The sequence below is a fragment of the Homo sapiens genome, chromosome 17 (genome assembly GCF_000001405.40).
Source record: "Homo sapiens chromosome 17, GRCh38.p14 Primary Assembly".
NCBI classification, from domain to species: domain Eukaryota; kingdom Metazoa; phylum Chordata; class Mammalia; order Primates; family Hominidae; genus Homo; species Homo sapiens.
In genome coordinates, this window is record NC_000017.11 from 30,386,009 (window position 1) to 30,402,945 (window position 16,937).

Genomic DNA, 16,937 nt, shown 5'->3' on the forward strand with positions numbered 1-16,937 from the left:
GGTCTCTCCATTTAAATTTAAAATGTATATATTTTTTAAGAGATAGGGTCTCACTCTGTTACCCAGGCTGCAGTGCAATAGTACAATCATAGCTCACTGTAATCACAAGCTCCTGGGCGCAAGCAATACTCCTGCCTCAATCTCCTGAGTAGCTGGAACTATAGATGTGTGCCACCATGCTAGCTAATTTTTAAATTTTTTGTAGAGATGGGGTATCGCTGTGTTGCCGAGGCTGATCTCAAACTCCTGACCTCAAGGGATCCTCTTACCTCAAACTCCCAAAGTGCTGGGATTATAGATGTGAGCCACTTCACCCAGCCCAGATCTCTCCATTTTACATAAAGGCACATTTTCCTTTTGTATTTTAATCTGTGAGGTGATCATGGAATGCTGTTTTTTTTATTTTTATTGTGGTAAAACATACATATATATATACATAACATGAAATTTGACAGTTTAACTGTTTAAACATTTTTAAGTGTAGAGCTCAGTGGTACTAATTTTCACAATGTTGTGCAACCATCACCACTATTTCTAAAACTTGTTCATCATCCCAAACAGAAACTCGGTAGGCATTAAATAATAATTCCCACTTCCATCTCTATCCCTTACCCCCAGCCATTGGTAACCTCTAATCTACTTTCTATCTCTGTGAATTTGCCCATTTTAGATATTTTATATAACTGGAGTTATACAATATTCTTCCTTTTGCATCAGGCTTATTTTTCTTAACATAATATTCTTAAGGGTGATCCATTTTGTTGCAGGTATCAGAACTTTATTCATTTTTATAGCTGAATAATATTCCTTGAATGTATATGTTAGTAATACATTTTGTTTATCCATCTATTGATGAGCACTGGGTTGTTTCCACCTTGGCTACTAGGAATAATGCGTAATGAACGTTGGCGTTCAGGTATCTGTATGAGTCCTTATTTTCAATTCGTCTGGATATATACCCAGGAGTAGAATTGCTGGGTCAAATGGTAATTCTATGTTTAGCTTTGACAGACTATTTTCCACAGTAGATATACCATTTACATTCCCACCAGCAATATATAAGAATTCCAATTTCTTATGAAATGTTATTTTTTAAAGAATTGTTTGTTGTTGTTGTTGTTGTTTTCAGATGGAATTTCACTCTTGTTGCCCAGGCTGGAGTATAGTGGCATGATCTTGGCTCACTGTAACCTCCGCCTCCTGGCTTCAAGTGATTCTCCAGCCTCAGCCTCCCAAGTAGCTGGGATTACAGGTGCCTGCCACCAGGCCCAGCTAATTTTTTGTATTTTTAGTAGAGATAGGGTTCCATCATGTTGGCCAGGCTGGTCTCGAACTCCTGACCTCGAGTGATCTACCTGTCTCAGCCTCCCAAAGTGCTGGAATTATGTATGAGCCACCGTGCCTGGCAAGAATTGTTAATACAAGCTTGAACTGTTTACCTTTTCTCTTTAAATGCTATGAAAACAGCTATTACTCTTTTTAAACTTTAGGTATGCTTTGAATAATAACGTTTTTGTTTTTATGCACAGATGTAGATGTAGAGGGAACTTAGAAGGAATAAGTCAACCAATGGAAATGTCATCAGTGTAAATTTTTTCTTTTCTAGGAGTCTGCCCATGATGAAATGCCTTAGGTCTTCCTTACCTTTTTATTGGCAGTCACATTATAAAGTGTCTTATGACATGTCTCTTAATGTATATTTAAACCTTTGAATTACTCTTTTACTTTTTATATCAAGCCATATGTACCCAAAATGGGTCATAAGTTTGAGAATTTAATACTTTCGTTACTGGATCTTTGGGGTATTGCTTTTCTGGTTGGAAACCTCTGTGCCTGGTGGTGCCTTTGCCCAAGTTCTTGTCCTGCATCCAGGAAGAATGAGGTATGCAGACAAGTGGAGGGTGAGCAAGACAAAGAGGAGCTTTATTGAGCTCAGAGGAGACCGGCAGTGGGCATCTCCTCTCTGTAGGCAGGTCACCCAGTCAAGTGTTCAGCCCTCAGCACAAAGGAACCCTGGAGTGGGTGGCCCCTCTCTACAGGCAGGTCATCCTGATGAGTGTTCAGCTTCAGCTTTCAGCAGAGAGGAGCTACCCTCTGGTTGTCCCATCATCTCTCCATCCTCTGCCTTGCTCTGACTGAGCCCAGGGCTTTTATGGACCTCAGAGGGGAGGAAGTGTATGCCGATTGGTTCATGGGCGCCACGGGCAGCCTGGAAAAGGCACAAGTCCCCACTCCAGTCTATGGGACTGGCAGCCTGGCCCCCAGCCTTCAGGACCTCCCTGGCCTGAAGGTGGGGCCTCACCAGGGACCCCCTCCCTTATACCCAGGAGCTAGTCTGCCTCTTGCTGCTTTCCATGGCACCCCGGCTGCTCGTGCTAAGGGGCACCTGCAAGCCAGTGCTGAGTCGCCCTCAGTCCCCAACCTTGGTTCCCTCTTCCATGCTTGTCAGTGCCCAGTCCGGTGGGGGCCCAGGCAACAGGGCCCAAGCATGTGCGTACCCCTCCGGGCAGTGACAGTGCGCCGCCTCAGCTCCAACCCCAATCCCGGATAGGAGCAGACGCAAGAATGGGGAGAGGCCAGGCAGCAGGAGCAGGCATCTCCAAGCCTGCAAGGGTAAGGGGGGCCTAGGAGGTCGGGGGACGCAGCTGCTGCCAGCTCCCAGCTCCCGCCGACTCAGTGGAGCATGCAGCCCCAGCCGTGCCCCCTGGGAGCCTGTGGCGGGTGGCTCCTAATCCTCGCTGGGCCTGGGCCAGTGTCTGGGCCAGGGGCGACATTGCCACAAGCTTCCCTGTTGCCCTGGGGCTAAGGAGTGGCCCGGAGCTGATTGCGGGCCTGGGGCCAGGCTGTCAGGAGTGTCAGGCTGGGAGGTCACCCCACGTGTGGCGGACACTGGGGACTTGGCCCCAAGTGGCCCGCGCAGAGCCTCCTCCCGAGCCCAGGAACCCGGGACCCTTAGTGGGGTGGGCGCAGTGGCTGCACTTCTGGCCAGATCCCCAAAGCTGGAGCAGCTCCTGCTTTCCGCCCCGCCCCCGAAGCACAGCCCCAGCTCCGCATAGGGGTTCCTCTCTGCCTGACTACATTACTCCCCCGCTGTGCTGCTCTGGGCCTGACCCCATTACGGCAGCCCCCAGGGCAGCGGGCTCTGGGGGGTGGCAGCGGGCTGTGGGGGGTGGCTGCAGAAGGGGTGGCTGTCCGCCTCCTTCCCGCACCTTCCGGCCTGCTGCTGCTATCACTTTCTAGAATTTTCTGATCCTCCTATAGTTTCTACCAGTGTTTCTTGTATATCAGAAGCATTCAAAAAGAGGTTTGACATACTATTTAGAAGTGAAACCTTCTCCCCATAACAATTAGAGGTGATTTGAAAATCATTAAAAATTTTTTTGTAGATAATGGACTTACTTTAATGTGTAATTTTTACATTTCAGTCCTTGGGAAATATATTTAATAAAACCTAACTTTGAACTGGTGGTTTTGTAATCTAGTCAAGTTGCTTCATTAATTTGAGATGATGTTACTTAAAATAATGGGGTAAATACTTAACTTTGCCTTTTTGGAAAAAGTTGTAAAAGGTTAGAAAGTAATTTCTAACTGACAATTAATTGAGGAAGGTAAATGTATCTCATACTACTTAAAAAATAAATATCCGGCCTCTACAAAACGTAGGTGTACTTTGGTATTAAGGCCAGAGATTATTTGGTGAAGCTAGTTATCATCAGATTTTTCTGATTATTCAGACATCTGAAGAAGCTACATTATGCTGCTGTCATTTTTATTTTCATGAGCATCAACTTTTCTCTTGTTTCAGCTGAATGTCGGATATGTCCTATGTTATTTCTACAATAACTGGCTTATTTCTCTTCGTACCTCAGCAAATATTGAGCAGTTTCCCCTTGAAGAGGAGGCTGTGATGGTTTTAGTTTCAACAGGGTGAATTCATTGTGTTTAGTGAGTAAGATGTTGTGAAACCTTGTGACTAGGCATATATTCAAAAAACCCGGATGTCCTGGAGTAATTTTTTTTTTTTTTTTGAGACAGAGTCTTGCTGTGTTGCCCAGGCTGGAGTGCAGGCGTGATCTCAGCTCACTGCAACCTCTGCCTCCTGGGTTCAGATGATTCCCGTGCCTCAGCCTCTTGAGCAGCTGGGATTGCAGGTGTGTGCCACCATGCTGGCTAATTTTTTGTATTTTAAGTAGAGACAGGGTTTTACCATGTTGACCAGGCTGGTCTTGAATTCCTGGCCTCAAGTGATCTGCCCACCTTGGCCTCCCAAAGTGCTGGGATTATAAACGGGAGCCACATGCTCAGCCGAGTAATTTTACTGATGTTCTATGTGATATATTTAGGAATTCTAGCTTAAAGAAGTATAGACCTTTAGAGCTGAAAGTGAATATATTGATTTAGTCCAACCCTTTTGTTTTAGAGAAAATCAAGGCCTGAGAGAGGAACTAACTTGTGCAATATAATGTATTAATATAGCAAATATTTACTGAGTTCCTGCCGTGCCACATATACTGTATTAGGTGATGTACCGGTATACAGTGAGAGCAAAACAGAAACAACTCCTGCTCTGAGGAATCAGATAGTATATTAGTAGTGTGGAATCTGGGGTGATTTGGGCCCTAGTGCCTTTGCCTTCATTGCCAGGGCTGGCCCAGCATATCTAGCTGCCTATGTGGGTGAGCCTTGCTTCATTCAACATGTCTCACAAACCTCAGGATCCATTTAGGAAATGGCTATCCTAATAAGGCTGATGAATAGCCACATCCCCTTCCAAAGCCTCGTTATTGTGAGACCTACTCTGGACTTGTTCATGGAGTAAGATGCCTTTTTTTTTTTTTGAGATGGAGTTTCGCTCTTGTTGCCCAGGGTGGAGTGCAATGGCACAATCTCAGCTCACTGCAACCTCTGCCTCTTGGGTTCAAGCGATTCTAGTGCCTCAGTCTCCTGAGTAGCTGAGGTTACGGGCATGTACCACCATGCCCGGCTAATTTTTGTATTTTTAGTAGAAACAGGGTTTTACCATGTTGGTCAAGCTGGTCTTGAATTCCAGACCTCAAGTGATCCACCTGCCTCGCCCTCCCAAAGTGCTGGGATTACAGGCCTGAGCTACCGTGCCTGGCCGCCTTTTTTTTTTTTTTTTTTTTTAATCACAGTGCGCTGATTTGTATGCCATTTGCCTACCGTTCTTTCTTCACAGTTTTGAAGACATTGTAAAAATCATATGATGTTTTGGTATGTTTATTCCAAAGCAGATTTAATAAAAACTGAACTGTAGTTTTAGGTCAACTTTTAAGCCATGGCGTGTGCTTGTAGTCGCAGATACTTGGGAGGCCAAGGCGGGAGGATCTTGAGTTCAAGCCCAGCCTGGGCAAAATAATGAGACCCTGTCTCCAAGAAAACAAACAGACAAAAAAGAATTGCCTTCTTTCAAATTATACAATTTAAGGAAGGGCAGGCAACGTATAGTTGAAATTATTTGATCAAAGATCATAGTTTTATGTAACTTTTAGAAGTTTTCTTGGGCAGAACATTGTTATATTTTATTTTCTTGCAGATAGAAGAACAGTAGAAGGCAGTGCAATGTAGTGGCAAAGAGAGAGCTTTGGAATCCCGTTGCCTTAGGTTGGAATCACAACTCTGCCTTGACTAGCTGTGTGCGTGTGTGTGTGTGGTGTGGGTGAGAGACAAATTAATGAATTTCTCTAAGCCTCAATTCCCACTTATATAAAATTAAGATAAATACTATCTACTCACAAGATTAGGAGGCTCAAGTGAGAATGTGTGTAAAGCACTTTAGCCTAGCATCTGGTGCCATGGCTACTTATATCTACTAGAGTTTAAACTTACTCTTGAAGATAGGGACTTTGTTTTATTCCATTTTCTATTTCTAGCACACACAACCATGCCTGGTATATATAAGGTAAATAATAGTCTTTTTGGAATAAATGAATTTTTGCCATCCGAAACATAAATACATAGTTATTTGATCTTTGGATAATCTTTTTTTTTTTTTTTTTTGGAGACAAAGTCTCACTCTGTCACCCAGGCCGGAGTGAAGTGGCGCAATCTCGGCTCACTGCAGCCTCTGCCTCCCAGGTTCCAGCGATTCTCCTGCCTCAGCCTCCCAGTTAGCTGGTGTTACAAGCATGCACCACTACGCCTGGCTAATTTTTGTATTTTTAGTAGAGACGGGGTTTCACCATGTTGACCAGGCTGCTCTCTAACTCCTGACCTCAGGTGATCTGCTCGCCTCGGCCTCCCAAAGTGCTAGGATTACAGGCATGAGCCACTGCGCCCGGCCTAAAATCTTAGATCTTTAGTTAATCTTATAACAATTTATAAAAATATTCTTCCTAGTTTTGCTCCTACTCTGAGTAAATAAGCTTGCCTTACTGGTAGATCCTAGATCAGTATTATTTGAACTTTTTTTTCTTACTTTTAACCTATAATATGAAATACCTTTTAGTTGTGTATGTACATTTCATATATATGTGTGTACATTAAAAAATTTCATGGAACAATACTTTTACTATACATTCTGGTATTATTTCTTTTAGTTTGTTCTATATCATTCTTTAAAAAATATGTCTGAACCCACTAATATATCTCACAACCCACTAATGCATGATGACCTTCAGTTTGAAAAAACACTATTCTTGATCACCCTGTGGTAGAATTCATTTATTTTCAAATTCTAAGTAGGAACAAAACACCTTACAAGTTGTGTGTGATAACTTATTATTTGGGTTTTTCCTCCCAACTTGTTTATATGTTTCAGTTATTTGCAGTGAGGACTGGGCCACAGATATTTATCTCAGATGTTCTACTTTTAGATTGCTTTCCCTAAAATACGAATGAGTGTTGAGTTAGGAAATTGGTCAGAAATATAGTTGTCAGGCCTATGTATTGCTCATGTGAGTCTATGGATTCTATTATTAGTTAGGACAGCTGCCATAAAGCTTTATATTTGTCTTCTTAAGCCACTATAAACTTGAGGCTGAGCCTTTTCAAACTAGTAATTATGATTGTTTTCTCCTCTGGAAGAAGAATAAACTGTTCTTTGGATTTATCAAATTTTCTTCCCTCTCCTTTTATACAATGGACAGAGTTATGAAATGTGGCCAGAAAGCATATAATGTAACCAATTCAGTTTTTTGTGTGAATATCAACTCCTTTTATCATGCAGACAACTATTCTTTCCCCAAACTGGAGGTCAGACTGAGCAGTAGCAGTGTGCTTTAAATATTGAAGTATGTTTGGCTGGAAGTAGATTGTTGATGGAAAAGGAAGAGCATGGGGAAAATAATTACCCACCTGTTTTCAACAATGCTGTTGAAAGTTTAGATTTGGTCCAGAAATGGACCAGAAAGCTTATTTTTGAGGAGTATTTTCTGTGTCATTAAATAGGATATTATGAATTAACCCAGTAACACCAGAAAATTGTAATCTAAAACAAAAAGGAATAAGATGAACAGTATGTAACTATAAAAATACAATATCTGATATTAAGAAACAGACAAATCCATAAATATAGTAGGAAGTTTAAAATAGGCCTCTTTCAGAACTAGTAGGTCATAGAGATCATAACTGTTAGATCACAAAAATGTGAGTAAGGATACAGTGGATTTGAATAACATAAATAAACCAATCTGACCTAATGAACGCGTACAGAATACTGTCCTTATATCTAATTTTCCTGCAGAGTCTGTTTACTAATTTGAGGTGTGGATGACTAAGAAACCAGCTGTCACGCTTAGGGAAGATGCATCTGGTTCTGTTAGCGCTTGTGTTACTTTGTTTTTAAGATTATATATTAAAAACTAAACAACAAAGATACACAGGTAAAATAGGCCCAGGAGCAGTGGAGCACACTTGTAATCCCAGCACTTTGGGAGGCTGAAGTAGGAGGATTGCTTGAGGCCAGGAGTTTAAGACCTGGGCAACTGGTGAGACCTCATCTCTTAAAAAATACAAAAATTAGTGGGGCATGGTGATGCACCCCTGTAGTCCCAGCTACTTGGGAGGCTGAGGGGCTGAGGCAGCAAGATAGTTTGAGCTCAGGAATGTGAGGCTGCAGTGAGCTATGATTGCACCACTGCACTCCAGCCTTTTTTTTTTTTTTTTTTTTTTTTTTTTTGACAGGGGAAGACCCGTGTCAAAAAAAAAAGAAAAAAAAAAGCTTATAATACAGGGTTCATAGGATCAAGTCTAATACTTCTTAGCATGGGAGCGAAGATCCCACAGTCTGACTCAAGCCTATAAGTTTAGCCTCAGCTCCTACCTCTCCTCTGCCACCGGACTACTTGTCCTTCCCAAATGTGAACCTTCACATGTTAGGCTATCCTCTGTCTGAAGTGCTTTTCACCAGTTTAGCTGTAACCTCTTCTGAAACCTCTCCTATAATAACTGTCACTATCCTACCTTCGAGAGCTTTTTGTTTATACAGTACCATCAGTATAATACTTATCCACTTATGTTGTTAATAGTTTTTTTGTTTCCTGTTAGTGTGTGAATTCTTTGATGATAAGGACAGTGTAGTGCTATTCGTTTTGGAGTTATCTTTGTGCAAAATGTATTGGCAGGAAAGAGTCCTAGAGGAGGGAAAACTAGAGAGGTGTTTACAGTCATCTGGGATGAGGTCTCTTTGGAGATAAGGGCTTTACCTAGAGGGCATGTAGGGGAATGAAAAGGGAGTATAAGATACATATATAAGAAGTTATGCAAGAAGAACTGCAGAATTGACCATCGTTTAAATAGCAGAACAGAATGTCAAAGAGAGGATGTCAAAGATATGACTTTGAGGATTTTGAGCTTGGATTAGAAAGAATGGGAGTGGGAAAAACTAATTGGATGGTGGGGATTGGGAGACAGCAAGCGAGTGAGCATGTGTGTATGTGTGTGTGTGTGTGTGTGTGTGTTCGTTCAGGTGAAAGAGGAGTGAAAACTGGAAATATTAATAGTACTTGATGTACTAGTCACAAGTACCCAATGGGCAGTTAGGGAATAGGTTCTAGAGCTTGGGAGAGAGGTCAAGATGAGAAAGAGATTTAGAAGTTTTGAGACATTTGGAAAGCATATGGCAGTGTAGATGATTTTGAAAATTGAATTAATAGTGTTTTCTGGCATAATTTAATTGCGTGGAGCTAGAAGTTCAACCAGAACATATATATAAATGAACAGATGGGTGCTTTTTTTTTTTTTTTTTTTTTACCTCTAAAGTGAATGCATTTCGTACTGGGATGTTTTCCTTAAGGAATGCCAACAATTCAGATATTAATTCTCAGCCTGATCATATTTTAAAGGTACAGTTGATAATCAAATGTGCATTAGTAAAGTGCTTTTGGTCTTACCTGATCTTGCACATTAAAGACCTGGTTGAGGCTTTTTCTTCCCTTTATTTTCTCTTTTAAAATCTGAGTGCTGCCTAATTTAAAAGGAAAGCAAAAAGGTAAAACAATACTCCAAAACAGAATATTTGCTTGGAGTCACGAGTTGGCTTTAGTAAATTGAAGCATAACCTAGTATAAAGACTGACCTTTAGGAGCAGTGCAGTTGTGTACTTTGTAACGTGATAATAGGCCTAAATGAAGAGAACCTAACACTCCTTTAGGATTTGGCCCCCAGTCTTTAGATCTAATGTGTATAAATTGGATGTACTTTTTTCTTTTCCTTTTTTCCTGTTTAACTCAGGTGGTAGAGAATGGGAGAGTACATTTAAAAAAAAAAAAAAGGAAAATACAGTTCAAAGAGCTATGTGGGAGACAGTGTTAACCAAGTTAGACAAAAATGAAAACAGATGTAGGACTGTGTAATTTAGTTTAACTCTGTAGAATCATATCATTAGCAAATATATATTCAGTGGGAGTGGTGAAGGAAATAGATTTTCACAAGATAGGTTGCTCAGAATACAAAGACCAGGTTCAGTTAGTTAAGATTTGATCAATGTGAACTTGAATTTAAAAATTAGGAATTTGGGGAATTTTTTTAAGAGCAACCTCTGATTTTTCCATTGATTTGGCCCAGATTTTCCACCTAAAATTTTTTTACAAACGTTATGCTCATTAGCTTTTAAAAATATCTCAGAAAGTACAAAATTATCACTTAATAACTCACTTATTGCCTATAAAAAATTGTTCAGGAAATTCAAAGTCGTGAGAGAATTTCTCACTATCCTTCAAAGTAGTTTTAATAAAGTAATATCATTAAGCTCCAAGTTGAAATATAGGGTAGAAATTGTCTGTCTATATTCCTAGACTTTAAAATGCTTTTCCTATTTAAAAAAACACATTGTAGTTTCCTTGTAAAAGATTAATAGGGTTCTTGTGTAATGCAGTTTGACACTTTATAGTTGGCCTGCAGAGGCAAGTAAAAAAAAAAACAAAAAAAACTTGCTATGTTTCTTAACACTGAAGCATTGGCTGTATTTTTTCTTTTGGCTTTCTGTTTGAGACAGAAGAGTGAATCTTTAGTATCTTTGAATGAAGGATTGAATTTATTAATCTCCCCTCCCCTTAAAAGCTAGATCTTTCTGTGGTGAAAAGAGTGATAAGAGACTTGTTTCCTAATCAAGACGGATTGAGTATCTTAAAACACATGAAGATTAGTTGTGCTACAAATCGATTGAAAGAGTTTAATGGGTACGAGTAGATCACTTGATCAGAAGATTTAGCTATCCGTAACAATTAGCATTGGTATTGATCACAATTTGCAGTATTACTAGACAGATTCCTAATGGTTACACTTTGAGTCTTGTTCTTTGATACTGGTAAATGAATGGTAGGTTTCTTTCTTTCCTTTCCTTTCCTTTCATTTCCTCTTCCTTTCTTTCCTTCTTTCCTTCCTCTCTCTCTCTCTCTCTTAATTTTTAGATCTCAGTTTTCATACGTATTCTTTCCTAAAATTAATCTGCCTGAGAAAGATACTTGCTGTGGAGGTTCTATCTCATATTCTCTTCTCCCAATTGACTGAAGACAGGCATACTTTTCTACCCACCTGAATCACATTATGGTGTATTGCCTTGGAGTTTTACAAACTTCCAGGGCACTAAAACAAAAGGAACAATTTGGTGATTACTTTAATGGTTAAACAGTACCATAAGAGCATCACCCCCAATTTTTCTTTGAAAGATGTATTTTCAGTAATTATTTCTTATATTTACTATTTTATTATTTACCAAAATTTGTAAAAAAAACTATGCCTTTTTGATAAATTGTGTGCTAGTGACTATTGTAATAATTCAATTTAGAGGACACAGAATTAATACTTAGAGCATTACAGTCATTGGAAATTAAGAAAAATTTAAATACACTAACATACTATAGATTGAAAAATTATAGAATGATTGGTGAAAGACTTTCAAGCATGCAGGTATATCACATTCAAATAGCATTCTGTGGAGGAAGTAGAATGGAAAAAAAGTTCAAAGAGAAAAAGAGAAGATGTGGCTGGGTATGGTGGCTCAGGCCTATGATCCTGGCACTTTGGGAGGCCGATGCAGAAGGATTAGTTGAGCTGAGGACTTCAAGACCAGCCTGAGCAACATAGTGAGATATGTCTCTACAAAAAGTAAAAATAAAAAAATTAGCCAGGCATGGTGGTGCACATCTGCAGTCCAGTCTACTCAGGAGGCTAAGGTGGGAGGATCACTTGAGCCTGGAGGGCAAGGCTGCAGTGAGCTGTGACTACGCCACTGCACTGCAGCTTGGGTGACAGAGCAAGACTCCTGTCTCAAAAAAAAAAAAAAAAAAAAAAAAAGAAGATATAAAATTCCTTAAAGAGGCATGTTCAGGCAACTTTTAAATAGATATTTCTAGAAATCAAATCTCTGGCATTTTTATTTGGATATATTTAAAATAATAATATAAAAGTTTTATTTAAAAAAAACTGGTCATGGTGCAGTGGTTCACACAGTGTAATTCCAGCACTTTAAGAGGCCAAGGTGGGAGGATTGCTTGTGCCCAGGAGTTCGAGACCAGCCTGGGCAAAATAGTGAGACACTGTCTCTACAAAAAAAAAAAAAGAGAAAAATTTACATTATGCAGGATATTCCTTTGTTTACAACTATTTAAACTTAAGATGAAAACTTGTGAATACCAACTTAAAAATTTGTGAAGCGTCGCATATTTTTTCAGTTATTTTAGTATTAACAAACAAATTGAAGATCATTGGTTTATATAACCCCCTGAGAGACTAATAGTAGAATAGAACAGAATAATAGAATAGAATAGAACAGAATAGAATAATAGAATAGAATAATAATAGAATAATAGAAACTCGCTTATTTATGATTGTTAATAAGTAGGATAAATTGCAGATCATTTATACTATTAAAGTGCTTTATTGCTTTGAGGTGTGCCTGTAACTGAATGTTTTACTTCCAAAATTAAAATTTTCTTTGGCTGAATAAAGATATTCTGAAACCTGACATTTCTCCTTTAATCTTTGTTGAGCCAAATGACATATCAACTTAAAAAGATAAGCAAATATATTAACTGAATCTGGCAGTAGCTGCAGCTGTTATTAATGTCAGGCCTATCTACAGATCAGTGGCTGCTCCCTGTTTGGGTGAACTCTAGCTTTGGGTAAGTAGGTTTTGTGTTGAGAAAAAAAAAATTAAGACAACAAACCTGAACCAGCTACTTAGTTAGGATTACTTATTATACAGTCTTTGACATTTGGTTTCAGAAAAATAAATGTTAAGTTTAACATAGATGGCAAATAATGCCTATCTGTGACATCTCACAAAAAATTCTTGAATTATTCATAACTTAATGTCCCCATTTGGTTCCATGTTTTAAAATAATTAAAAAAATAAATTTAAAAATAATTTTAAAAATAAAAAAAATTTTTTTAAATAATTAAAAAAAAATTCCTAAACCAAAACTTGAAGTTGATGAATAAAGACGTTTTGATATTCTAATGCTAGGATAGTTTATCTTTTTGTCTTATGAAATAAAAATTAGTTTGCTACTCTTCAGACATTTATGAGTTTGAAGAAGATAAAGGTAGACATCACAACTCATTAATTGCCTTCTGAAAACAGTTCATTATTATAGACTCAGAGGAAACGTGCTTTACTTTTATGAGATTGTATCAAGACAGAGATAAATATTTTATAATATATTTATGTTATTGATTTCAATATAATAACATCGTGGTCAGAGAACACCCTTTGTATGTAAGTTTGACCTAGGTCAAACTTAAATCATACAAAGTTTGACCTAGGATATGGTCAGACTTGGTGCATGTTCCATTTGTACTTGAAAAGCATGTGTATTCTGCCATTGTTGGGTGGGGTATAGTATAAATATCATTTATAGATCTAGTTAGTTGATAGTATTATTACATTTTTCTCTATCCTTTGCTGATTGTCTTTTCTGCTGATTACTGAGAGAAGAATGTTGAAATGTGCAACCAAAATTGTGGATTTACCCATTTTTCCTTTTAGTTCTATAAATTTTTGTTTTATATATTTCAAAATTCTGATTGTTGCATGCACATCTAGAATTATGTCGTTTTGGTGAATCTACACTTTTATCGTTATGTAATGTCCCTCTTTATCTCTGGCATTTTTCCTTGCTCTGAAGTCTATTTTACCTGATAGTCATATAGCTACTCCATCTTTTGATTTGTGTGTGTATGGTGTATTTTTTTCCTTTCTTTTAACTTACCTATACCATTATATTTAAAGTGAGTTTCTGACCTGGTGCGGTGGCTCATGCCTGTAATCCCAGCACTTTTGGAGGCTGAGGCAGGTGGATCACTTGAGGTCAGGAGTTCGAGACCAGCCTGGCCAAAATGGTGAAACCCCATCTCTAATAAAAATACAAAAATTAGCTGGGCATGGTGGCAGGCACCTGTAATCCCAGCTACTCGAGAGGCTGAGGCAAGAGAATGCTTAGGAAACCGGGAGGCAGAGGTTACAGTGAGCCGAGATTGTACCACTGCACTCCAACCTGGGTAATACAGCGAGACTCTGTCTCAAAAAATAAATAAATAAATAATAAGTAAATAAATTGTGTTTCTTGTAGTTGCATAGAGTTGGGCCTTGTTTTTTAATGAGTTTTACAATTCCTGTCTTTTAGTTGGTGTGTTTGCACCATTTACACTGAATATAATTATTGTTATGTTTGGATTTAGGTCTACTTTCTCATTTTTCAGTTTGCCTCTCTCATTTTAATCCCACTGCTTCCTTTTTCCTGCCTTCTATTGGATTGTGTTTTCAACGATATCTTTTAGTTGCTCTAGTAAATACAAGTTACTACTTAACTTTTCACAGTTCTACCTAAAATTAATATTTTACTTCAAGAGGAATGTACGAACCTACCCACCATACCCTTTATCCTCCCCTTTTATGTTGTACTTAACTTATATATATATGCTGCACTGAAAACCCTACTAGACAATGTTATAATTTTTACTTTCAACTGTCATACACAGTCTAAGGGACTTAAGGGGAGAAAAATAGCTGATTGTATTTACCATTTCTGTTGCTTTTCATTCATTCCTGAAGTTCTAAGTTTCTCTGTGGTATAACTTCTCTTCTGCCTGAAGAGCCTTCTTTAGCATTTCTTTTAAAGCAAGTATGCTTATAATGGATTATCTTAGTTTTCCATCTCTGAGAATGTGTATTTTGCCATCATTCTTTTTTTTTTTTTTTTTTTTTTTTGAGATGGAGTCTTACTCTGTTGCCCAGGCTGGAGTGCATGGCGCGATCTCAGCTCACCGCAAGCTTTGCCTCCTGGGTTCACTCCATTCTCCTGCCTCAGCCTCCTGAGTAGCTGGGACTACAGGCGCCTACCACCACGCCCGGTTAATTTTTTTTTTTTTTTTTTTGTATTTTGTATTTTTAGTGGAGATGGGGTTTCACCATGTTAGCCAAGATAGTCTTGATCTCCTGACCTCGTGATCCGCCCGTCTCGGCCTCCCAGAGTGCTGGGATTACAGGCGTGAGCCACTGCACCCGGCCTTGCCATCCTTCTTGAAGGACATTTTTATTGGATATAAAACTCGGGGTTGTGGATTGTAGTTTGTTGTTTTTGCTGTTTGTTTTTTAGAGTGCTTTAATAATTTTGTGCCATTGCCTTCTGGCCTCCATGGCTTCTGCTGAGAAATTCAGTCATTTGAATTTTTCTTCCCCTTTATACGCACATCATTTTTCTATGGCCACTTTCAAGACTATTTTATTGCTGCTGCTGCTGCTGCTTCTGCTTCTGCTTCTTCTGCTTCTGCTGCTGCTTCTTCTCCTTCTCCTTCTCCTCCTCCTTCTTCCTTCTCCTCCTCTTTCTCCTCTTACTCCTCTTCCTCTTCCTCCTCTTCTTCCTCTTCCTCTTCTTCCTCCTCTTCCTCTTCTTCCTCCTCTTCCTCTTCTTCCTCCTCTTCCTCTTCTTCCTCCTCCTCTTCTTCCTCTTCCTCCTCTTCCTCTTCTTCTTCCTCATCTTCTTCTTCTTCTTCCTCTTCTTCTTCTTCTTCCTCTTCCTGTTATTATTATTGTGAGACAGAGTTTGGCTGTGTTTCCCAGGCTGGAGTGCAGTGGTGCGGTCGTGGCTCACTGCAACCTCTGCCTCCCAGGCTCAAGCTATTTTCTTGCCTCAGCCTCCTAAGCAGCCGGGACTACAGGCACGTGTCACAACACCTGGCTTATTTTTTTGTATTTTTTGTAGAGACAGGTTTTCAACATGTTGCCCCAGCTGGTCTCAAACTCCTGGGCTCAAGGGATCCGCCTGCCTCGGTCTCCCAAAATGTTGAGATTACAGGCATGAGCCATTGTGCCCAGCTGACTTTTTTTCTGTCTTTGGTTTTCAGCAGTTTGATTATAAAATACCCATGCATGGATTTTTTTGCACTTATAGTGTTTGAGATTTGCTGAGCTTCTTGAAATGTAAGTTTTTGTCTTTTGCCAAATTTATGGTGTTTCTAGCCATTATTTCACTTTTTTTTTTTTTTTAAATAGCATGGCGCCATTTTTTTTTCTCTCCTGAGACTCCAGTGATAACAATAGTAGGCCTTTTGCTATTGTTCTTAAAATTTTTTCTTCTTTTTTTTCAGATCTTTTTTTCTTCTTTCTCTGTTATTCATAAGGCAATTTCTACTTACCCATCTTCAAGATAACTCACTTTTTCCTATCATTTCCATTCTTCCATTAAACCCATTCAGTTTATTTTTTTAATTTAGTTACTGTATTTTTCTGAAATTCTGAAATTTCTACTTTTTTCTATTTTGCATGTTTGGTATCTTTCTTTTACTTTAAGACTGTTTAATCTTACTTCCTTGGAAGGCTGGGCGTGGTGGTTCACACCTGTAATCTCAGCAATTCGGGAGGCCAAGGTGGGTGGATTACTTGAGGTCCAGAGTTTGAGACCAGCCTGGCCAACATGGTGAAACCCTGTCTCTACTAAAAATACAAAAATTAGCTGGACATGGTGGCACATGCCTGTAATCCCAGCTACTCAGAAGGCTGAGGGACGAGAATTGCTTGAACCTGAGAGGCAGAGGTTGCAGTGAACTGAGATCGTGCCACTGCACTCAAGCCTGGGTGACAGAGCGAGACTCTGTCTCAAAAAAACCAAACCAAAACAAAACGAAAACCTTAATTCCTTGTAACATGGTTATAATAACTGCTTTAAGGTTAGTCTGGTAATTCCAGCATCTGTGTCACATTGGAGTTGGTGTCTGTTGACTTTTTTTCTTTATAATATATTGAGCTTTTACTGGTTATTTGAATGTCAAATAATTTTGGATTATATCCTGGACATTTTGAATCTTATGCTATGAGATCTGGGTCTTGTTTAAATCCTATTAAAACATAATACTTGTTGGCTGGGTGTGGTGGCTCACACCTATAATCCCAGCACTTTGAGAGGCCGAGGCGGGCAGATCACCTGAGGTCAAGAATTCAAGACCAGCCTAACCAACATGGAGAAACCCTGTCTCTACTA

The 16,937-nt window shown here is 39.2% G+C and overlaps 1 protein-coding gene across 2 annotated transcripts in view, besides 2 other annotated features; it reads left to right on the forward strand.

Moving 5' to 3' along the window:
* CPD (carboxypeptidase D) overlaps positions 1-16,937 on the forward strand; it is a 91,063-nt gene that overhangs the window by 7,082 nt on the left and 67,044 nt on the right. The window lies entirely within an intron of this gene.
* Positions 2,019-2,704: an enhancer, noted in NCBI's record as "H3K27ac-H3K4me1 hESC enhancer chr17:28715045-28715730 (GRCh37/hg19 assembly coordinates)". NCBI's record gives its function as "activates a minimal SCP1, AML or CMV promoter by ChIP-STARR-seq in naive H9 embryonic stem cells {active_cell/tissue: H9 hESC(naive)}" and the evidence as "EXISTENCE:reporter gene assay evidence [ECO:0000049][PMID:30033119]".
* Positions 8,463-8,757: a silencer, noted in NCBI's record as "tiled region #2970; HepG2 Repressive DNase matched - State 8:EnhW". NCBI's record gives its function as "represses a minimal TATA promoter and a strong SV40 promoter by Sharpr-MPRA in HepG2 cells {active_cell/tissue: HepG2}" and the evidence as "EXISTENCE:reporter gene assay evidence [ECO:0000049][PMID:27701403]".